Raw genomic sequence first — 24,478 nt, forward strand, 5'->3', positions numbered from 1 at the left:
AATATCAGTTCTTGGGCAGGGCATGTCTGTGGTATGTCCTCTGCCTATCTCTTCGGTCTCTATCGCCACTACTCCCCTCTCCAACATGGGATCAACCTATAATAGAGCTTTTATTCAGTGTGCTTCAAATATTTGTTTACATTACATATATCTCTCCCTAGACTTGAGGACGGGGAAGTCTCACTCATATTTATACTCCAGCATGCAACACAGTTAAACCTAAGGAAACAAAGCCTTAACAAAGGCACTTGGAAGATCTGCGTTCTCCCCATCAATGGCAACTACTGGTGACAAGGAAGGAAGCTATGGGTGCTGTCTTCTAGGGAGTCTTCTCAGGGCAGGCAGGACCTCACTTCCAGGACTCACCTGGCCTGGTCACCTGTGGGTGGAGACAGGGCCTGACATTCATGAAATCTCCTTTATGTCCAACCCTTCAGAAGCTTCTTTTGATGCCAAGGGGCCCAACTCAGAGCCCACATCTCTATGTCTATGACCTCCTACATTATTTTTGTCTTGGTAATGAAATTTCCAACAATGTAATACTCACCGAAATAGAGCTTCATAGGGATGTTCCTATACTTAGACAGTAAAAACAAATGAGAATAGGGTAGAGGAAAAGGAGAAGCATGAAGTTTAACTCCTTAGAGCCCATCAAGACCTTGAAGCCCTTTAAGACAAAATTTCCATAGTTGCAAATGCTGGGGGAACTGATGCTTACCTGCTCCATGTAAATTCCTCTTTGCAGCCCAGATGGCTGGAGCTCTTTGCTATGCATGGGAGGGAACCACACAAATGTGTTAGATCTGAAGCAGGGGTTTGCAAATTATGGCTTGCTGGCCAAATCCTACCCACCATCTGTTTTTGTATGGTCCATGAGCTAAGAATGCTTTTTACATTGTTAATGAATGAAAAAAAAAAAAAGAATATTTCACGGCCACAAAAATGGCATGAAATTCAAATTTTGGTGTCCATGAATAAAGTTATATTGGAACACAGTCACATTCATTTACATATGGTTTATGGTGGATTCCACACGAGAATGGCAGAGTTGAGTAGTTATAACAGAAACCATGTGACCTGCAAAGTCTAAAAGTTTTACCATCACGCATTTTCCAGAAAAAGGTTGCCAACCCCTGATCTGAAGTACCAAACACCTGTGAATAACAGAAAACTAAAGATGCAAAATGCAGGCCAAATAAAGTTAGTGAGAGCAGTGATTCCTTTATTTCATCTAAGAATTCATTCATAGTCATGTGCCACATAAGGACGTTTTGGTCAATGATGGACCGTATATACGATGGCGGTCTCATAGGGTCCCACACCCTATTTTTAGTGTACCTTTTCTACGTTTTAGTAAGTTTAGATACACAAATACTTACCAGTGTATCACAACTGCCTACAGTATTCAGTGCAGGTTTGTAGCCTAGGAAAAATAGGCCATACTATACAGTTTAGGTGGGTAGTGAGCTATACCATCTAGGTTTGTGGAAGTAAAATCTATGATGTTCACAAAATGATGAAATCGACTAACGATGCATTTCTCAGAAGGAATCCGTGTCGTTAAGCAACACATAACTGTACTTCACTTGTATCCTTTTCTCCCAAAACATCACTTTAGTTGTAACACTCAAGGATATTTCAAATAATCATTACAGACATCCTGCTTACCCATATTCTCTTGGCTCCATATGTGTAGATATAGATATATTTTTTCACTTTTAACATAGTAAATACAGGCACCTAATTTTAAAAAATCAAATAGTGACAAACAGAAGTTTTATAATCTAAGCAAGAGTTCTTTGTCTTTCTCCCTCCCACCTCCTCTCTTAAAGAGACAATCACTTATGTCTTTTTGCTATTTCTTTGGTAGTTACTTGATAAAAAATTGTGCTTAAATTGTTCCTTCTTGATAGATGAATTTTGATGTTATCTAATCTTTGTTATGACAGATGAAGATTTAACTCATACTTCTCCTTCCTCCCAAGATAAAGGTTATCTCACAACAATTTTTAGTTAACTGAGTAATCAGTACTTACATTATGATTATGCAAATAACTTCTCACCACAGGGGCAAGTGGTAGCTCACGGTGACCTTTTTTTTTTTTTTTTTTTTTGAGAGAGGGTTTCACTCCTGGTCAAGCGATCCTCCTGCCTCGGCCTCCACATAGCTGGGACTACAGGCACATGCCACCACACCTAGCTAATTTTTAAAATTTTTTTGTGAAGATGAAATCTCATTACGTTGCCCAGGCTGGTCTGGAACTCCTGGCCTCAAGCAATCCTGCATTCTCAGCCTCCCAAAGTGCCACGGTTATCTTTCTAATTTATACTCCTTTTTGTTTTGTTCCATGTATCTGAAAGCTTTAGAAGGGGGAATGCTGTCCTGGTACCATCAGAAGTTCTAGGTCTCCAAATAATGATCTTCCCCAAATTCAGTACATTATCAGAGCAATTACATATTTAGAAAAGAGATTATGCAGCACAGATATTGCTTTAAAAATAAAAGGTCTGTTCAGAATTATAGGAATGTGAGTCTGAACTTTCCTTCCAAGTCGTAATGCCTCACTGTGGCTTTTACAGAAGGCAGAGTCTGGAATTTTTGCTTCCACTCCTAAGGGAAAGAGTAAAAAGAAAAGGGTGAGGCAGGCAGTTCTGCATCCCTCATTTCGTTGGCTTACACAACACTTTATCAAGAACAAATTCCCCCAAATGTCCATTCTCCAGTCTCTAAAAGTAAGAGAGTAATGAACGCTGTGACTCCCAGTCCACATGTATCCCTAGATGTGATGCTAACTAATGCTTTGAAGGATTCTCAGCCAGAACCAACCAACTGCTCCTGCCTAACCTCAGAACTTTGATCAGCATGAGCCCAAGAGATAAAAGTGGACAGTGGATCAGAATCTGATCTACCTAAGTTGGGTGCAGTGGTGCATGCCTGTGGTCCCAGCTACTTGGGAGGCTGAGGTGGGAGGATTACTTGAGCTCAGGAGTTCAAGACCAGCCTGGTCAACATAGCAAGACCCCATCTCTAAAAAAAAAAAAAATGAATCCAATGTACTCTTGGTGGAAAGACTCTACAAATTTATTTATTTATTAGTTTGTTTATTTTTATAATTTCAACTTCTATTTTAGATTCAGGGTGTACACATGCAGGTTTGTTACATGGGTATATTATGTGATGCTGAGGTTTGGGGTATGATTGATCCTGTCACCCAGGCACTGAGCATAGTACCCATCATTAGTTTTTCAACCTTTGCCCCCCTTAGTTGTCCCCAGTATCTATTGTTGCCATCTTTATATCCCGAGTATCCAATGTTTAGCTCCCACTTATAAGTGAGAACGCAGAGTATTTGGTTTTCTGTTCCTGTGTTAATTTCTTAAGAGAATGGCCTCCAGCTGCACTCATGTTGTTTCAAAGGACATGATTTCATTCTTTTTTATGGCTGTGTAGTATTCCACGGTGTATATGTGCCACGTTTTCTTTATCTAATCCACCAGTGATGGGCATCTAGGTTGATTCCATGTCTTTGCTATCATGAATAGTACTGTGGTGATCATATGAGTGCATGTGTCTTTTTGGTAGAATGATTTATTTTCTTTTGGATATATGCCAGTAATGGGATAGCTGGATTGAATTAGTTCTGTTTTAAGTTCTTTGAGAAATCTCCAAACTGCTTTCCACAGTGGCTGAACTAATTTACATTCCCACCAGCAGAGTATAAGCGTTCCTTTTCTACACAGCCTAGCCAGCATCTGTTGTTTTTTGACTTTTTAATAATAGCCATTCTGACTGGTGTTAGATGATATTTCATTGTGGTTTTGATTTGTATTTTTCTGTTGATTAGTGATGTGGAGTGTTTTTTCATATGTTGTTGGCTGCTTGTATGTCATCTTTTGAGCAGTGTCTGTTCATGTCCTTCACGCATTTTTAATTGGGTTATTTGTTTTTTGCTTGTTCAATTGTTGAAGTTCCTTATAAAATCTGGATATTAGAGCTTTGCTTAGTGCAGTTTGCAAATATTTTCTTCCATCCTGTAGGTTGTTAGTTTACTCTGTTGATAGTTTTTTTTTTTTTTTTTTTTTTTTTTTTGCTGTGCAGAAGCTCTTTAATTAGCTCCTACTTGTCCATTTTTGTTTTTGTTGCAATTGCTTTTGAGAATTTAGTCATAAATTCTTTTCCAAGGCTGATGTCCAGAATGGGGTTTCCTAGGTTTTCTTCTAGGATTCTTATAGTTTGAGGTCTTACATCTAAATCGTTAATACATCTTGAGCTAATTTTTTTTTTTTTTTTTTTGAGATGGAGTTTTGCTCTTGTTGCCCAGGCTGGAGTGCAATGGCGTGATCTCTGCTCACTGCAACGTCTGCCTCCCAGGTTCAAGCAATTCTCCTGCCTCAGACTCCCAAGTAGCTGGGATTACAGGCATACACCACCACGCCCAGCTAATTTTGTATTTTCAGTAGAGACGGGGTTTCTCCCTGTTGGTCAGGCTGGTCTCGAACTCCCGACCTCAGGTTATCTGCCCGCCTCAGCCTCCCAAAGTGCTGGGATTACAGGCGTGAGCCACGGCGCCCGACCAGTGGAGCTAATTTTTATATGTGGTAAAAGATAGGGGTCGAGTTTCATTCTATTTATGGCTATACAGCTATCCCAGCACAATTTATTGTACAGAGATTCTGTTCCTCGTTGCTTATTTTGGTTGACTTTGTTAAAGATCAGATGGCTGTAGGTGTGCAGCTTTATTTCCGGGTTCTCTATTCGGTTTCATTGGTCTATGTGCTTGTTTTTTGTTTGTTTGTTTGTTTCATTTTGTTTTTTTGAGAGAGGGTCTCACTCCCATTGCCTAGGCTGGAGTGCAGTGGTGTGATCACAGCTCACTGCAGGCTTGACTTCACAGTCTCAGGTGATTCTCCCACCTCAGCCTCCTGAGTAGCTGGGATCACAGGCGTGCACCACCACAGCCAGCTACTTTTTTGTATTTTTCATAGTGACGGGTTTCACCATGTTGCCCAGGCTGGAATCATGTGATCTCCCCACCTCAACCTCCCAAAGTGCTGGGATTACAGGCAGGAGCCACCGTGCCTGGCTATGTGTCTGTTTTTGTACCATACCATACAGTTTTAGCTACTGTAATCTTATAACATAGTTTGAAGTCAAGTAATGCCTCTGGTCTTGTTCTTTTTGCTTAGGATTGCTTTGGCTATTTGGACTCTTTTTTGGTTCCATAGAAATTTTGGCATAGTTTTTTCTAGTTCTGTGAAAAATGGCATTGGTAGCTTGATAAGAATAGTGTTGACTCCATAGATTGCTTTGGGCAGTATGGCCATTTTAACAATATTGATTCTTCTGAACCATGGGCATGGGATGTTTTTCCACTTGTTTGTGTCATCTATGATTTGTTTCATCAGTGTTTTGCAGCTCTCCTTATAGAGGTCTTTCATCTCCTTAGTTAGATGTATTCCTAGGTATTTTATTTTTTGTGGCTGTTGTAAATACAATTGCATTCTTGATTTGGCTCTCAGCTTGAACATTATTGGTGTACAGAAATGCTACCAATTTGTTTTCACTGATTTTGTATCCTGAAACTTTACTGAAGTCGTTTATCAGTTCCAGGAGCCTTTTAGTGGAGTCTTTATGGTTTTCTAGGTATAGAGTAATATTGTCAGTGAAGAGATAAATTGACTTCTTCTTTTCCTACTTGCCTGTCTTTTCTTTCTCTTGCTTGATTGCTCTAGCTAGGACTTCCAGGACCCTAAAAATTGCAACCAAAACTTCATGTGATCATTTTGCATACTTTGGGTTTAGAGCTAATAAACAAGAGCTTTCTTATGACAAACAATGCTGCAATGAATAATCTTGTATACAAATGTCACCTTCACACACACACATATATATATAAATACATCTAGAGGATAAATTCCCCAAAGAATTACTGGGGCAAATGATATAGGCATTTATTGTTGTTTTAAATAGCAAATATATATATACAGGGTCTTTTATAATCTGATCTTCTGTGTTTATACTCTCTGTGACTTCTAGATCTAAAATGTGCACAACTACATGGCTAAAATTCAATTGCGTCCTCCATGTATCATGTGTGTTAACTTTTCCAGGCTAAATGAGAATTGATTTATTATAAACTGTATTTCTGACTGAAGTACCTCCCATGCTATGTTTGCCTGAGGACAGAGCCTTCTAATTCTACCTGTCGTCTACCACTCTACCCCCACACTGTTTCTATCCGCTGTATTCCAGGTTCATCCTCCATACTGCTGTTTATAATCGCCTCAACTCCAACTTTAGTAATGCTCTACCTTTAGCAAAAATGATGGCTTATAATGAAAAGCAGGTCCACAGTGACTTCACTTTAGACCAGGAAGAATTCTGACCCCACAAAGGGAGCCAGCCTAAATGCCAGGGTGTCGTGGGTTACCCGGACCACTGCCAAGCAGAAGGAATATACTCATTTCTCAGAGAGAGATATTGAGAGGGCTCCTTCTCTCAGAGATCACCTCTACCTAAAGAAAATAAAATTATTTTTCATTGAACTGTACTTAGAAAAGGTAAGTATCCTTTGACTTAGATAAAATCCCTTTTAGAAATAACTTTAGCAAAACCTTCCAGTCTGCTCTTAGCCAGAAAACCCTATTAAGCAAAATACAATTGTCTCAACCCCACAAGTAGTGTTCCTGAAAGTTAGTACCAGCTTTGTTAAAGATAGAAGGCTGCATGCTTCTTGCATTTGGCAGGGTTCATGATTTGATTTTCACTGAAAACAATGTTTTGAAGTATTGGACAAGCAGAGAAATGAAAGAAACATCTGCCTCATTTCTTCTAGGAGAATATTTGCAATACACTTTGAGGCCAAATTTGACAATACATGTATTAAAAGACTTTAACAGAAAGCTAGACAGTGAAAACATTGGCCACCTAGTAATATATTTTTTAAATGATACTCAATGCTGGCAGGGTAGTATGAATTAGTTATATCTTGCTAGACAGAAATTTGGAATATGTATTGAGAGTCTTTTTGGCTGGGTGCAGTGGCTCATGCTTGTAATCCCAGCACTTTGGGAGGCCGGAGGCAGGCAGATCACTTGAGGCCAGGAGTTTGAGACCAGCCTGGCCAACATGGTGAAACCCCATCTCTACTAAAAATACAAAAATTAGCCAGCTGTGGTGGTGCATGCATGTAATCCCAGCTACTCCGGGAGGCTGAGGCACAAAAATTGCTTGGCCTTGGGAGGTGGAGGTTGCAGTAAGCTGAGATCGCGCCACTGCACTCCAGCCTGGGTGACAGAGGGAGACTCCATCTCAAAAAAAAAAAAGAGTCTTTTTAAAATGTGAAGGGGCTGAGGGTGAGTGGTGTGGTTATAGTAAGGCAACGCGATAGATCCTGTGGTATTGGAACTGTCAGCATCTTGACTATGGTGGGGGATACATAGACCTGTACGTTGCAAAGAAATTAATCACACATGCAAGTGAGTACAAGCAAAACTGGACAAATCAGAATGAGATTGGTGTATTATATCAATGTCAATATCCTGGCTGTGATATTGCACCATCGTTTGGCTAAATGTTCGCACTGGGAAAAACCCAGCAAAGTACAGAAGTGAACTCTGTGTAGTATTTCTTCTAACTGTAGTATTTCTTCATACAGTTATCTCAATAAAAGTTTCCGTGTAAAACTGTGAATCTGCCAAGATAAGTGAGGTGCAAAGTTACCCCTGGGTGAGAGAAAAAATTAATTTGTGTGCTACAAAATTTTAGGTGTAAGACAGTTACAATATGAGGACAGTTGCACAGCACAGGGCCAGGGTGGGGGTTGTAAATAGCCCACCTGAGTCTGTCCTTTGTTACTTAGGGAGGGGAAGACAGAAAGACGGGTGACTTTTTTGTCCCAATAAATCTATACCTAAAAGCCTATCCTTTGGAAATAGAGATGTCCACTGCAGTGTTATTTATAATAAGAAAAAACTGGAAACAACATGACAGCCCATCATTATGAAAATAATCAATACATGTGACATTTATACCATGGAACATCATGTAGCCATTTAAACAAAGATACAAGATAAGGGAGGGAATGACTGTGAGGACTTTAGAGTATCCAAAGTATTACACATAGTTACACAGAATAAGGAGGGACAAATGGAAGAAAACACATCAAAGTGAACTCTAGGAAGAAATGTAAGGCAATCTGGGAAAAGGTAAATGCAGAATATGATATGATATCAAGTAATGGTTGTAACTTTGGGGGGGATGTGATAATGTGCGGGGATTTTATTTAAGTCCTTACCCCTTATCCATTAGTGATACATAGTGAAATAAATACCGATGAAATGATAGACTGTCTGGATGGATTTGCTTTAAATATTCCAGAAGCATCCAGATATTATTTGCACAATTTTAAAAGCAAGTAAAATAAAACAAATGTCAACAGCAGTTATTTTCTGAACTATGCAATTGGGTAACTGGTCTTTTTATTTATACTTCACTGTTTTCTAAGGTTTTTTCCTTTTTTTTTTCGAGATAGAGTCTTTCTCTGTAGCCCAGGCTAGAGTTCAGTGGCACAATTTTGGCTCACTGCAAACTCCACCTCCCGGGTTCAAGCGATTCTCCTGCCTCGGCCTCCTGAGTAGGTGGGACTACAGGTGCCTGCCACCACGCCCAGATAATTTTTGTATTTTTAATAGAGATGGGGTTTCACCATGTTGGCCAGGCTGGTGACTCCTGACCTCACGTGATCTGACCTCAGGTGATCTGCCCACCTCAGCCTCCCAAAGTGCTGGGATTGCAAGTGTAACCCACTGTGCCTGCCCATTTTCTAAGTTTTCTATGATTAACAAGTATAAAAAAATGAGATGGAGGAGGAAAAAAGTAGGATATGTTTAGAGGTATCAGACCAGAGAAATAAGTTATTTATACACAGGCAATTGCAGCAGTGATTATATTAATCTGGAGACAGTCCCTTTTAAGGGACAATTTACCTTTAGACTTATCAGCTGAGTGGTTGCAGATGCCCTTAACCAGGGACGATAGAAACGATTGTTCACAGAGTGATCCACACAGCTGTTCTCCTGCCCAAATTGCCTGGGAAGGAGCTACTGGCTTCCTGTTGGGTTCTGTGGGTCTGAATTTTTGTATCTTAGGCTAGTCATTCTTAACTGAGGGAGCCCACCAGAATAACCAAGGGCAATTTTCTTTTTCAAACTATAATTACAAATACTGAATAGTTCCTCACAGGGTACAGAAACATTGTCTAAAAGTTCCCTAGGTGATTTGGATAGGCACACATGGCCAATAGTCCCTCATTTAAATAAACGTGTGTGCGTGTGTGTGTGTGTGTGTGTGTGTGTGTGTGTGTAAATATGCCTTAAATATTTGGGGAAGTATATGTAAGAAAGTGGTAAAGTGGGCCAGGCGCAGTGGCTCACGCCTGTAATCCCAGCACTTTGGGAGGCCGAGGCAGGCGGATCACCTGAGGTTGGAAGTTCGAGACCAGCCTGGCCAACATGGTAAAACCCAGTCTCTACTGAAAATACAAAGTTAGCCGGGTGTGGTGGCGCATGCCTGTAATCCCAGCTACTTGGGAGGCTGAGGCGGGAGAACCGCTTGAACCTGGGAGGCAGAGGTTGTGGTGAGCCAAGATCACGCCATTGCACTCCAGCCTGAGCAACAAGAGCAAAAACTGTGTCTCAAAACAAACAAACAAAAAAGTGGTAAAGTGGTGGCTTTGGGGAAAAGAACTGGGCAGCTGGGGATGGAAAGGGAGAGAGACTTTTCAAGGCATATCCTTTTGTGCTTTTCACATTATATGCAAGTGCATATATTACCTATTCAAATAACGTGAAAAGTGAAAGAAAAAAACAAATTTTAAAAGAGCCCCTGCTTGAAACACTCAGTTTGCCAGAATCTGCTTTTCTTTTGCTAAGGTGGTCAAAGTTCTGTAAGGAGGACACATTTTTCTTTTGCAGATGATTTTGCTAAAAAAAAAAAAAATTCAGAGAAAGCATCTAATGACTTTGAAAGAACACCAGAATAAACATAATGGATTTTACATTCTGATAGTTACACAAACTCCTCACCAGTTTAGAGTTACACCTTCTACCATTAGGAAGTACATAAAGTCAGCCTACATGCAGGAGACAAAGATTTTCATTCTGCCATGAAAGTAAAGAATTTCATTAAATATCTCTGATGATAGCAGCTGCCTGGCTTACTTGGGAGCAGAGGTGAAGGTAAATGTTTCCTTAATTATTTTGTGATGTTTGAATTTTGTGCTAACCACAGAATTACCAGTTTTTATTTATTTTTTTTAATTTGAGCATTTAAGACAGTGTGATTACATGGAACTACAAGGTGACCATCTCACACTCCTATAATCACTCCCAGCAGCACCTTTGAGTTCAAAGGGCAAAGGTGATAGTATACATCTTCAAATATGTGGGGGCACAGAGTGACAGAGGGCACCTGGAAAAGATTAACCAGCTACAATGGGAGCCAGAGGTAACCTAAGGGGCTGGGCCCACTGGTTAACAGAAAGGTCAACAGAAGCAGAGTCCAGGGAGCAACATCACCTCTTTAACCCAGTGTGGGTGACGCACATCATTTGACCCTCCCTGACACCCAACTCACTTATAAAATGGAAATACTCAATTAGCTGGGCACTGTAGCATGTGTCTATAGTCCCAGCTACTTGGGGGGCTGAGGCAGGAGGATCGCTTGAGCCAGGGAGGTAGAGGTTGCAGTGAGCTGTGTTCATGCCACTGCACTCCAGGCTGAGCAACAACAGAGCAAGATACTGCCTCAAAAAAAAAAAAAAAAAAAAAAAAAAAAAAAGAAAGAAAGAAAAAATATATATTCTTCCTTATAACAAGTCTTCCAGATTCGGTGTTGGGTACACACACACACATACATACACACACACACAGAAAATCTGGAAGATTTGTTTTCCATCCCCCAAACACTAAAATGCAGGAAACAAATTATGAGTTCTCAGAGCTCAGGGTTTCATGTTGATTTTAATGTCCTGTTTTGTGTGTGTTCTAGTTAAAAAGACAATGAGAATTCATTGTTGGCTTGTCTATACTTCAAGTGCACGTGATACTTTTTATTCATAATTATTTTTTAAATATATTAAATTTATATGGAAATTCTGTTAGAGTCAAGTGCTGACTCCACCAACCCCTTCATTAAGAGGTGATTCTGACAACTGTTAAGCAAGAGAAGGTCAGCTAAGATTTGGATAAGACTTCAAATACTCCTTGATCACATGCAAATCAACTTTCAGAAATGAGACTTCAGGCAAGAAATTTTGCTCTGAGATTAGTTGTCTTGGGCCGGGCACAGTGGCTCAGCACTTTGAGCTGAGTGTAGTCTTAGCACTTTGGGAGGCCAAGGCGGGTGGATCACTTGAGGTCAGGAGTTCGAGACCAGCCTGACCAACAGGGTGAAACCCTGTCTCTACTAAAAATACAAAAATTAGCTGGGCGTGGTGGAGGGCATCTTTAATCCACTACTCGGGAGGCTGAGGCAGGAGAATTGCTTGAACCAGGAGGTGAAGGTTGCAGTGAGCCAAGATCATGCCACCGTACTCCAGCCTGGGCGACAGAGCGAGACTCTGTCTCCAAAAAAAAAAAAAGAGAGAGCAAAAGAAAGATTAGTTGTCTCTAATTGGTTAAAGGTACTTGAAAGTTCAAAGGTACAAACTGAAACAGTCAGGTTGCTTCCTCTCTCTGGTTAGACTTGTTCAATCTGCAAATGGAAATTCCTTTAAAATTTCCCAAATTGAGAGGAGCGGAAGCCACTGTGTGGGCCCACAAGAGACTGTCATCTGTCCAGATACAGACGTCAAAGGCCGTTCTTCCCAAGCAATCAGGAACGCAGTTGAGGCTGGCAGCAGTGAAGCCAAAGAGAGACAGAGACCAAAACCCACCTCCAGCCAAAACTGGTTGAGCAGCTGCTAGGAGACCAATGACCAGATGACCAATACGGACCAATAATTCTGAGGTCCCTGATAGAACCAGAATGGTTTTAAGCTGATTTTTATTTACTAGCTTTTTTTTTTAATTCGGTTTATCCCCCTTGGTTTTAGAAGTAAAATGTCCTTGCAAAGAGAAAAGTTTCCATAAAGAATTTTGTCAGTCTAGATAGAATGACTGTAAAAATTATCACTACACATATAATGGGAAACTCCACAAAAAAACAAATTAGAAAAAAAGAAATCTCATTTATTTGTTCAGTACATTTTTGAATGTGAAAGGATCCAGGAAAAGGAGGAAGAATAAAAAATGCATTCTAAAATCAGGGAAAATCAATAGCCTGAGAGGAAGTTGTACATACACACACCCAGGCATTTCATCACAGGACTCCCTCCACACAACCTTCCCAATGCTCACCGGCAGCCAAACCACATTTCTCTGGGCAGCACAGTCAGTTCCAGATTGAAAGGATTTCTCAAAAGGTCAGAGTTGTGGACATATTGCTCAAAACAAACAGGAGAATGTAGAAATAAGAGGAAAAGTGGATAGGTGCATTAGGGCTGTGTAATGCAGGTGCCAGGAGTTATCCTACCAGGACCCACAAGCAAGTCATAGCTGCACTGCTAGGGAGGGAATAAAGGGAGCTGCTTAAATGCAAGACGCAGTGTGTCTTCCTTCACCACCCTTTGTCGGCCAGAGCCTGATATTCATACTCAGGATGTCATGAAAATGTAATTGATGAGGTCGAGGAGCCGGGGGGAAGAAACCCAAGTACTCCTACTGTCCAACCCAATGGAATTCCCCATGGGTAGGCCCTCAAAGTGATGCCAATTACTGTGAGATTCATTGTTTTCACTTCTGTAATAACCTTTCCACCTTAACCAAAATCTTGGCAGCCAAGGAATCCACCAAGCTGAAGCCAAAGGCAGCATGTTTTAAAATGGAAGCCTTGCCCAAAAAGGACACACTCAGAAAAAAGCAATGAATTCTATTCTGTACCTGGGGAATGGCTCTAAGTTACAAAGCCAAGGAGAGCTATGTTCCAGTTAAAAGCCAGACAGAACCAGACCAAGCTAGGCTGCCCAGGAGTAGGGGTTTAGGGACGTGGAGAAGTGTTGTGGCAAAGAACCCTTCTTTTCCCTGTTTAGCTGGAGTTTGACCTCATTTGGACAGCCACAGACATTCCAGCAACCAGACAGTTCCTGGAATAAACACGGGGCTTCTCCAAAACAAGTGACCAGATAAATTTTAAGGAAAACAGAGGAGGGAGTGGAAAGAGAACATATAAGATTCTTAAGAGACTTAAATCAACCTGTTGCAATGTGTGGATCTCGTTTGTACCTTGATTCAAATAAACTACTAAAAACTACACAACAGTAGGGGAAAATCTAGATATTTGAATTGACACTAATTTTTAGTGTGATAATGGATGTATTTGATCATATATTTCTTTACCTGATTCCACTTTATTTAGATAATCTGAAATATTTATGGATGAAATAATGCCTGGGATTTGCTTTGCAATAATCTGGTCAGATGGGTATAGAGGAAAACAAGATGGCGCCATTGAGTTGAGACTTCTTGAAGCTGGGTGATTAGTACACAGGGGTTCATGTGCTCATCTCTCTACTGATGTGCATGTTTCATTTTCTGTAACAAAAATTAAAAGAAGGCAAGGGCCTCTGGGAGGGTGAGGAGTCAGGTACTCACACTTCCCCTTGATCTCTTGAGACTTCTTCTTCTCTCCATCAGCAGGAGGACCCATGCCTGTGATGATGAATCCAGGTGCTCTGTTTTGACAGAAAGGCTTCTTGAAAACCTTTCATGTCTGCAACTGCTCTTCCACTAAGTGAAAAGGAACTTGGCCAATCAATCTTCGGTGACAAAACTCAGAAGCAGCAACTCGGGCTTAGCTGAGCAGCTCATCGTTTTATTGACACCTATGAGTGGTGGTTCTAGGAATGTTTTATGCCAGTAAGCATTCCTACTTTGATAAGATTTGCTACCCAACGGTCCACAGGGTCCCACAAGGAGCAGCAGGCCCCAGTACTTGGACATGCTGGCCACCAGTGAGGGCAGGGGCGGCCTCTGCCTGTGGGCAGCACGGAATGGGGAGGAGACCATTAGCAAGAGGGAAAGGAGGTTGTTGGGCATGGGACAGAAGAGCAGCACAAAACCCCTTGCACTAACTGGAAGTTTTGCCCTGGGCAGGCTCTTCCTAGAAGAGGGAAGGAAACCCTTTTCCACTCCCTGCCCCAGCCTACTCTTCCTTCCCCAACAGCTCCCACGTAGGAAACAGTGCCAGTTCCCAGGGGGCTGAAGTTACCTACTAAGCATTAAGACAACAGGGACATGAGGGCCACTCAGATTCCTGACTCTTATCCCAGACCTCCTCCTCCCATTACCTCAAGACAGTGAGGACGGTAAGACTCCAACCAAATACCAAGGAGAAACTGTCAGAACCTGGGGTTACTTCGTACTATAATGGAGATTAGTATTCAAATAGCTTTGATGGCTGGGAGAAGCCCTTATGATGTCTTTGCTGAAACAGAATACAGCCAAAATAATCAAGTTATTTAAATATTTATAGTGGTGGTTGAAAAAGAAACAACTTTCACAAGAACAAAGTTACAATAGTTTAATAATTTAAATAGGACCACCTTCAGGAACATACATACTCATACATAAAATTAAACAATTTAATTTTGAACAGTGTATTGAAATACATCAAATTCTTAAAAATCCCCCAAATGGACTCAAGATCATGGATATGAAAAGGTAATTTTGAAGTACTAAAGACTAGAGTAAAACAGACAAAGTCATTACTTTGCATTTACTAATAAGACAACAGCCTGTGGATACATTAGACCTTTATAAGAACACTTCTAGGAAATGTTAGAACAACGAGTCATTAAAAAGGAATATAAATGAGTTCATAAAGATAAATGTATAGCTGACAATTTCTTTGGTCCTCGAAGTCACACTTGTTTTTACTTTAAAATGCCAAACATGAGTTGAGTGCTCAGAATTCTACCTATAAATGTCTAAATATTAAGCAGGCTAATGTTTATACTGGGCTAGATTTAAAAAGGTACTCAAGCCAACCATCACTGTACTTAAACTCCAGAAAGAAAAAGCTAGGAAACAGAAGTAGAGAGGAATGGAAAAAAACAAAAAAACCCAATACCTCTGCCATCTTGCCCCATCATAACCCAAATAGCATCAAAGTGGCAGAGATGGGACTAAAGTTAAAGCAAGCATCAAAGTTATTACTTTTAGGGTAATGGGATGAATTTGAAGAGCACTATGTCAACCAAATACTAAACTTCATGGAATAACTGTGTTTGTGTTTCTGTGGAGGAGTTGCGGTTTTGTTTGTTTTAATTTGGCCCACGCTGCCCCAATGGAGGAAATTTTAAGATAATCATTAATAAGGCAACAGCTTCCAGGATTAAAATACCTATACCATCTATACGGAGTTACAATGAGGACAAGACCCACATAGACCACAAAGGAAACCGGGACCAGAAGCTTCCAGTGCATTTTCACAGATCGTTGGTACGATACGCTTTGGTTAAAACGTTGGACACAGCTCATAATGTCTTCCACCGTCAGTTCATTCTGTGCTCGTTCAGGTGCGTGGAAGCTATGGTTCTGCAGACCTGAAAATGATGGGCACTCTCAAATGTTTCTGGAAATACTTAGAAAAATATCTTATAAGATTAAAAAAAAGAAGAAGAAGAAACATTTTGAGGCATCTACATGGATCACACAAAGGAAACTCAATAAACCTATAAAGTTAAAACTGAGCTGACTAGTTATTTGCAGTGTGAGTACTAAGTCTCATAAAATAATGGCTTTTTTAAAAAGGCAAAAGTATCTACACTCTAAATGATATTCTTATCAAGGCACAGAGAGTTAAATGTCTAAATCCCTGTATGTTGACACGAGAATACACTCGTAAACAACACCAGGAACTAATTCCCTATTCTTGAATTTAAAAACAATAGAAGGTAGAAATGTGCCTTTTTAACTCACAGTAAAATCAAAAACATAGACATTCCACCACCTTCCCTTGGTGACTAACATTACGACTGCTAAAAATATATTTTTAAATGTCACTGGTGGTTTAATAAACATGACCAAAGTGAAGTCTGTTGAACTTGAATTCACAGAGCAATACCGCACTAAATATTTTAGCACTTTCGGCACTACACCACTTTTATTGGAGGAAGAAAAAAAACAGTATACTGGGCACAGTTCCCTCTCATTCCCAATGCTCCTATGCTTATGAGGCAAATTACTGTACTATTTGAAAAAAATACACTAATTCTTCTCCCTTCCCAGGCCCCTCTGGTTATCTGGCAGTGGTTTTGTGCACGTACTTACACTATTAGCAGTTCACTTTAATATTGCCACAAAAAGGTGGCAAGAAGAAAGTAGAGGGCTCAACCCTTTATTATATTTATTTGACTTCCTAGAAATAATTTTAAATATAATTAGTGACAAGGAATAAAGTTCACATCTGTAACAATTGAAAATGGAATGTACAAACAAGACCGGACAGACAGACAATGCTACTGGCAGTACGATCGGCAACCAACGCACACACACTGAATGAAGCTCAGCTCCTAATGAGAGTCAGGAACTCTTCCCGAGTCTTTGGATCCTCCCGGAACACACCCAACATTGTGCTGGTCACAGTTTTGCTGTTCATTTTCTGTACACCTCGCATTACCATACACATGTGTCTACAAAATAAGGCAACACAGGTTGTTTAAAGGAGTAGACAGCTGCTGGTTTGGTTTTTAAAAGCAGGCCTAAAGATTAAATCTCAGCTCACAGTTACCAAGTATATCGAAATATCCCTTCTTACACAAATGTTATCTATTAGGTTCATGCAAAAGTAACTGCGGTTCTTGCTATTGAACATAATGGCAAAAACTGCAATTATCTTTGCAGCAACCTAAACTTTTTGTTCTTGAAGTTGTCTTGCAACTTTTATTTTTATCAGTAGTTGATCCTTAAAGCATCCAAAAAGGGGAAAAATGGAATTTTCTTCTGGGGTGAAAGTAATATAAAAGGTCTACAGAGTTACTTAACTTCTAGATCAAAAGAAAGTCAGAATTCTCACTTGCTCTGCCTTCAGGACCAAGACAGCACTATGCTAGCCTAGGTGTTCAGATAAATGCTCAAGTATACTGATGTCACCAGGCAGAATTCAGATAATGGTGACCAGAGATCCTGTCTGAGCAACCTGGTGACATTAGATACCAGACATAGAACAGAGTTCACACCACGTCACAGAACACATATGAACTTTGTCCACACAACAGCTGCAATTCTCTTAACTCATCCTAACTTAAAGAAATGTACCAATTCTTGGCTTTATTTTTTAAATGTGTGACAAAATATTAGAAAAACTCGGCTTGGAGCAACAGAGAGCTAAAGAAGAAATCAAGAGAAGACATAAAATCAAGAGAAGACATAAAAATGGCTATTGGCGTGGTGGCTCACGCCAGTAATCTCAGTATTTTGGGAGGCTGAGGTGGGCAGATCACTTGAGGTCAGGAGTTTGAGATCCCCAGCCTGGCCAACATGGTGAAATCCCATCTCTACTAAATACGAAAATTAGCTGGGTGTGGTGGCGGGCACCTGTAATCCCAGCTATTTGGGAGGCTGAGGCAGGAGAATCGCTTGAACCTGGGAGGCAGAGGTTGCAGTGAGCCAAGATCACACCATTGCACTCCAGCCTGGGTGAGAGAGCAAGACCCTGTCTTGAGCATTTTTAAAAAATGGCGATTGAGCTGGGCGCAGGGGCTCACGCCTGTAATCCTAGCACTTTGGGAGGCCGTGACGGGTGGATCATGAGGTCAGGAGTTCGAGACCAGCCTGGCCGACATGATGAAACCCCATCTCTATTAAATATACAAAAATTAGCCGGGCATGGTGACACACACCTGTGGTCCCAGCTACTCGGGAGGCTGAGGCAGGAGAATCGCTTGAACCCGGGAGGTGGAGGTTGCAGTGAGCCGAGATTGCACCACTGCACTCCAGCCTGGGCGACAGAGTGAGGCTCCATCTCAAAAAAAAAAAAGGCTATTGATTATGCAAATCTCTACACCTGTGCTTTTAACTCCCTATGCCTCCACAAGCCCCATCCTACCCTCAAAAAATACTTCTCCCATATTCTGTTCCTATATCAGTAACAGTAAATGAAAGTGGTAAAAGAGCTTTAGGCTCAGGGATGGAAATCTACAGTTATCATATCAGTTGTGTGGCATCACCTGGTGCTACAAAATATGAGAAGCACTAAATAGCAAGATCACTTCTAGTGCACCATTATGACGTTACTAAAGGCAGATGCAGACTTACGTTGCTTCAACCACTACCCCGACTCCAGCAGGCCGCAAGGCTTCCGTGATTGCTACAGCAATTTGTTTTGTAAGGCGCTCCTGAACTGTGGATGTGATAAGGAGCTCAGTTTGAGAGTCTGACACAAACAGCTGGAAGCTTTTTCTGTCTCTAGAACATTTGAAATCTTAAAAATCAGACTTCTGTGAGATTTAAGAGCCAAGACACACCAGCTTTTACCAGACTGCTTTGTCTGCTGACTGGGCCACAGAGAGGCCCGGATTCAACTCCCTCACCTGAAGTACAGGGCTAAAGAGATCTCAGAACACCCTGAAGCCCTCCAGCATCACTGCGGGAAGGAATTAGAATAGCAATTATCTCATACCTGTGCAGTTAGAACAACACAGTACTGGTTACCAAGCACCTCCATGGAGGTAAAGTAGTGCAGCAAATAAATAGCCTGCAACAGGGTTAACAAAGGGGCTGCAGTCCAATTATTGAATTGTGCTTAGAGCAATGTTGAAAACCAACAATTTAACCTAAATAATATAGTTCCTGTCCTGAATAAAATGACTTGTCTTTTAATTCATACAGGAATATTCATTGCAGCACTGCATCTATTTGAAAACTGATGAAACCCCCCAGTATCTATCAGAGCTGGTATAGGTTACGCCAAGCCATGGCATATACGGTAGGATTCTAGACAGCCACCAGAATGAATGAGATAGTTACATGGATGTGGCAAAAATGTTTAAGATTTGTTAAATGAAAAAAAGCAGGGAAAAAAGCAAGGCTGATTATGTATAAAATGAGCCCATTTTTGTTTAAACATAATCCAAATAAATTGATTTGAAAATGCAGGTATATGCATGAAAATGTGAAGGAATGTGCAAATACAACAGTGATTTCTTCTGGAAGCTTGAAACAGTAGACTTTTTATAGTCCTAAGAGGTTTTACATTTTTATAAGTCATACTTATCGCACTAGTAATAAAACAAAAAATACTTTTTGTGTAGGAAAAATGTTTTCTGTAGCCAGGCACAGTGGCTCATGCCTGTAATCCCAGCACTTTGGGAGGCCAAGGTGGGCAGATCACCTGAGGTCGGAAGTTCGAGACCAGCCTGATCAATATGGTGAAACCCCGTCTCTACTAGAAATACAAAAATTAGCCAAGGCATGGTGATGCACTCTTATAATCTCAGCTACTTGGAAGGCTGAGGCTGCAGTGAGCCGAGATTGCACCACTGCACTCCAGCCTGGGTGACAGAGCAAGACTCTGTCTCAAAAATAAAAATTTAAAAAAAGAAAAAAAAGAAAAATGTTTTCTGTTAATACAGATTTTTAAAGCTTACCTTGTAGTCTTCTACTATAGATTTCTACAATCCTAGAAAAGAAAGAATTGTTTTAGTTAATCACAAATCATTTGAAGTAAAATTGATAAGCCTTCCTCATAAAACAAAAAGGACATTGTTGAAGCAAGTGGGCTGCAAGAGGAAATAAAGCTTATGGCAAGATGACAGAAAGATACAAGTACCACAGGGAGATGTAGTCTAAAGTCAACTTGATTGGATTGAAGGATGCAAAGTATTGTTCCTGGGTATGCCTGTGAGGGTGTTGCCAAAGGAGATTAACATTTGAGTCAGTGGGCTGGGAAAGGCAGACCCACACTTAATCTGGGTGGGCACAATCTCATCAGCTGCCAGCGAATACAAAGCAGGCAGAAATATATGAAAAGGCAAGAGTGGCCTTGACTCCCAGCCTACATCTTTCTCCAATGCTGGCTGCTTCCTGCCCTCAAACATCGAACTCCAAGTTCTTCAGTTTTGAGACTCAGACTGGCTCTCCTTGCTCCTCAAGCTTGCAGACAGCCTATTGTGGGACCCTGCGATCATGTAAGTCAATACTTAATAAACTCCCCTTTATATATATATATATATCTCCTATTAGTTCTGTCCCTCTAGGGAACCCTTACTAATACAGAAGACCACCAACCACTGCAGAGTGGTGCTTCCTGATGTCCCCAGAAAGAGAATTAATGAGTCTCCAACTGTGACGTTCACTTAGGAAAAACAGAGATGAGTAACAAAATTTTAAAGTTCCAAATCATCAATTTTAGATCATGTCTCAAGTGCTCTGATTAATCATATTGTTTTATCAGAGCTTAAAATTCAAGTTAAAAATAAAAAGACTTTGTTAATTAATAGCACACCACGGTCAACTACTATACCAACTAAACCTATTAGGAGAATCAGATTGGAACTGATTAGACTTCTTCAGACACCTCTTCATAAGATAGGTTTATGTAAGCACTTAGTAAGATTAACCCCCAAGAAATAAAAGCCTCCTGATCTTAACTTATAGCACAATCTGTCAAGTGATAAATTTTCCTCTTTTTTTTTTTTTTTTTGAGATGGAGTCTTGTTCTTGCCATCCAGGCTGGAGTGCAATGGCATGATCTCAGCTCACTGCAACCTCTGCCTCCTGGGTTCAAGCGATTCTCCTGCCTCAGCTTCCTGAGTAGCTGGGACTATAGGCACCCGTCACCATGCTCGGCTAATTTTTGTATTTTTAGTAGAGACAGGGTTTCACCATGTTGGCCAGGCTGGTCTCGAACTTCTGACCTCGTGATCTGCCCACCACAGTCTCCCAAAATGCTAGGATTACAGGCGTGAGCCCCTGTGCCCAGCCAGAATTTTCCCCTTTCAACATCTTTCATTCTATTTATGAAATATAAAGATGACCACGTGACTTATCCATTTGAAGATGACTATTCACACTGAGGACCTTTTCTTTAAATTCATGGCCTTTTGATCATGAATTCAGATTCAATTTATGGTTCACCTCCCTATGAGGCATTTCCTGGCTCTTCCCCCAACTACACGTCTCAGAACCAACAACTTGCTCCTTTATACCCATTACAGCCAACAAAGTCAGTAACAGGTCCGCCACCCCGTTTACCACTCAGCCCAGAGCTCCCTGAGGGCAGAAGCCATCCTAGCTCTCCTTTATCCCAGCAGTAGTTACTAGGATATTGAAGAAATATATTAATAGCTATATTCTATTGGTATTTTGAACAAAACCTTAGAAAGGAATGGTTTTTAAGCTCCTAGATAGGAGGTATGTCATATTTCTTACTAGGTCAAATTTCTGTATATATTACTTCTGATAGTTTTTCAGGTGATTAGTTTGTTATATATGTAGGAGATGCCATTGATTTTAAAGTTAGTAATGTTTTCCTTCTCGTATTCACCATTCTTTTTCTGGAGTAGAACTTCAGGTGCCACATTGGACAATAGTGGTAACACTGGGCAACCATGTTTTGCTCCACACTTCAATAGGAATGCCTCTAGGATTTCACTACCACCCACAGTGCCTGCCTGCTTCTGGCAGACAGCTGCTCTCATGGCAGGAGGAACATTCCCATAGATTTTTACTGAGTGCCTGCTATGTATGTGATTATATGGTGAACATGCTCTCTGTGCTCTGAGAGCTTATTATTTCTAAACCCTAGTTTATTAGTTTTCTTTTACAAGTGAGGAGTAAATATGAAACCTAACACATCTTTTCAGCATGTCATGTAGCTTCCCTAGATTAAAAAAAAAAATCTTTATTTTGCTGTCATTCTGGAAAGATAATTTGTTGAGAGGTATTTGCTGGGAACCGAATTCTAGTTTGACACTGATATCTATCTTGCCCTTCAGTATTGCTGTTGGCAAACCAATTCAGTGTAACTGCTGTTGCCTTTTAGATAATCGATATTTCTTTCTTTGGCTGCTTTTATATTAACTATATTTTATAAGTATATACTGCAATTTACTATGTTTTAATCCAAGTAGGGATTTAATTTGACTTATTTGGAATTTATTAGGCTTTCTGAAGACCGATATTTTGCATGTGTTCTAGAAACTTTTTTAGCCATTATCTTCTCTAACGTTGCATCTAGCACATTGCCTCTGTTATCTCCAGGAATTTCAATTAAGGGCATATTATACCCTCCCAGTCTTCCATGTTTCTTAAATTCTCATTCATATTTTCTACCTGTCTTTGCGCTGCATTCAGCACAATTTCTTTAGACCTTTCTTCCCAATCACCGTATTTAATCTATGTCTAATCTATTTAATGAGTATACTGGACTTCAGTTTCATTTTTTTAATTTCTAAAAGTTATATTTCCTCCTCTTCCCAATCTGCCTGGCTAATTCTGCAAGTTTCTTATCCCTTTGTCAATTTTTTTTTGTTTGTTTTTTGGCACGGAGTCTTGCTCTGTTGCCCAGGCTGGAGTGCAGCAGCACAATCTTAGCTCATTGGAACCTCCACCTCCCGCATTCAAGCAATTCTCTACCTCAGGTTCCCAAGTAGCTGCGATTACAGGTGCCTGCCACCACACCCAGCTAATTTTTGTATTTTTAGTAGAGACAGGGTTTCACCATGTTGGCCAGGCCGGTCTTGAACTCCTGACCTCATGATCCGCCTGCCTTGGCCTCCCAAAGTGCTGGGATTAAAGGTGTGAGCCACCACGCCCGATCTCCTTTGTCAATTTTTTTATATATAAGTAGGTTCTTTTTTTTTTTTTTTTTTTCCCCCGAGACAGAGTCTCCCTCTTGTCACCCAGGCTGGAGTGCAATGGCACAATCTCAGCTCACTGCAACCTCTGCCTCCCAGGTTCAAGCATTTCTCCTGCCTCAGCCTCCCAAGTAGCTGGGATTAGCGGCACCCGCCACCACATCCAGCTAATTTGTTTTTTTTTTTAATTATTATTATACTTTAAGTTCTAGGGTACATGTGCACAACGTGCAGGTTTGTTACATATGTATGTAAGTGCCACGTTGGTGTGCTGCACTCGTTAACTCATCATTTACATTAGGTATATCTCCTAATGCTATCCCTCCCTGCTCCCCACGACAGGCCCCGGTGTGTGTTTCCTACCCTGTGTCCAAGTGTTCTCATTGTTCAATTGTCACCTATGAGTGAGAACATGCAGGGTTTGGTTTTCTGTCCTTGCGATAGTTTGCTCAGAATGATGGTTTCCAGCTTCATCCATGTCCCTACAAAGGACATGAACTCATCTTTTGTTATGGCTGCATAGTATTCCATGGTGTATAAGTGCCACATTTTCTTAATCCAGTCTATCACTGATGGACATTTGGGTTGGTTCCAAGTCTTTGCTATTGTGAATAGTGCCACAATAAACATACGTGTGCATGTGCTGGAGGCATCACGCTACCTGACTTCAAACTATACTACAAGGCTACAGTAACCAAAACAGCATGGTGCTGGTACCAAAACAGAGATATAGACCAATGGAACAGAACAGAGCCCTCAGAAATAATACCACACATCTACAGCCATCTGATCTTTGACAAACATGACAAAAACAAGAAATGGGGAAAACATAAATGGTGCTGGGAAAACTGCCTAGCCATATGTAGAAAGCTGAAACTGGATCCCTTCCTTACACCTTATACAAAAATTAATTCCAGATGGATTAAACACTTAAATGTTAGACCTAAAACCATAAAAACCCTAGAAGAAAACCTAGACAATACCATTCAGGACATAGGCATGGGCAAGGACTTCATGACTAAAACACCAAAAGCAATGGCAACAAAAGCCAAAATTGACAAATGGGATCTAATTAAACTAAAGAGCTTCTGCACAGCAAAAGAAACTACCATCACAGTGAACAGGCAACCTACAGAATGGGAGAAAATTTTTATGATCTACCCATCTGACAAAGGGCTAATATCCAGAATCTACAAAGAACTTTAACAAATTTACAAGAAAATATCAAACAACCCCATCAAAAAGTGGGTGAAGGATATGAACAGACACTTCTCAAAAGAAGACATTTATGCAGCCAACAGACACACGAAAAAATGCTCCTCATCACTGGCCATCAGAGAAATGCAAATCAAAACCACAATGAGATACCATCTCACACCAGTTAGAATGGCAATCATTAAAAAGTCAGGAAACAACAGGTGCTGGAGAGGATGTGGAGAAATAGGAACACTTTTACACTGTTGGTGGGACTGTAAACTAGTTCAACCATTGTGGAAGACGGTGTGGCGATTCCTCAGGGATCTAGAACTAGAAATACCATTTGACCCAGCCATCCCATTACTGGGTATATAACCAAAGGA

At 40.6% G+C, this 24,478-nt stretch overlaps 1 protein-coding gene across 6 annotated transcripts in view; it reads right to left on the bottom strand.

The window, feature by feature from the left end:
* The window catches only part of GCH1 (GTP cyclohydrolase 1), a 60,810-nt gene continuing 50,938 nt past the window's right edge, over window positions 14,607-24,478 (bottom strand). For 2 of the 6 annotated variants that reach the window (NM_000161.3, NM_001424105.1), the window contains exons 4-6: window positions 19,689-19,720; window positions 18,358-18,442; window positions 14,607-16,733 (exon numbers count right to left, since the gene is read on the bottom strand). In NM_000161.3, coding sequence (NP_000152.1) covers window positions 16,607-16,733; window positions 18,358-18,442; window positions 19,689-19,720 — 244 coding nt within the window. In that variant the 3' untranslated portion in view covers window positions 14,607-16,606. The remainder of the gene's footprint in view (window positions 16,734-18,357; window positions 18,443-19,688; window positions 19,721-24,478) is intronic. The other 4 variants (NM_001024070.2, NM_001024024.2, NM_001024071.2 and 1 more) reach the window with 4 other exon arrangements.

This window comes from Homo sapiens, chromosome 14 (genome assembly GCF_000001405.40).
Source record: "Homo sapiens chromosome 14, GRCh38.p14 Primary Assembly".
Lineage (NCBI taxonomy): Eukaryota > Metazoa > Chordata > Mammalia > Primates > Hominidae > Homo > Homo sapiens.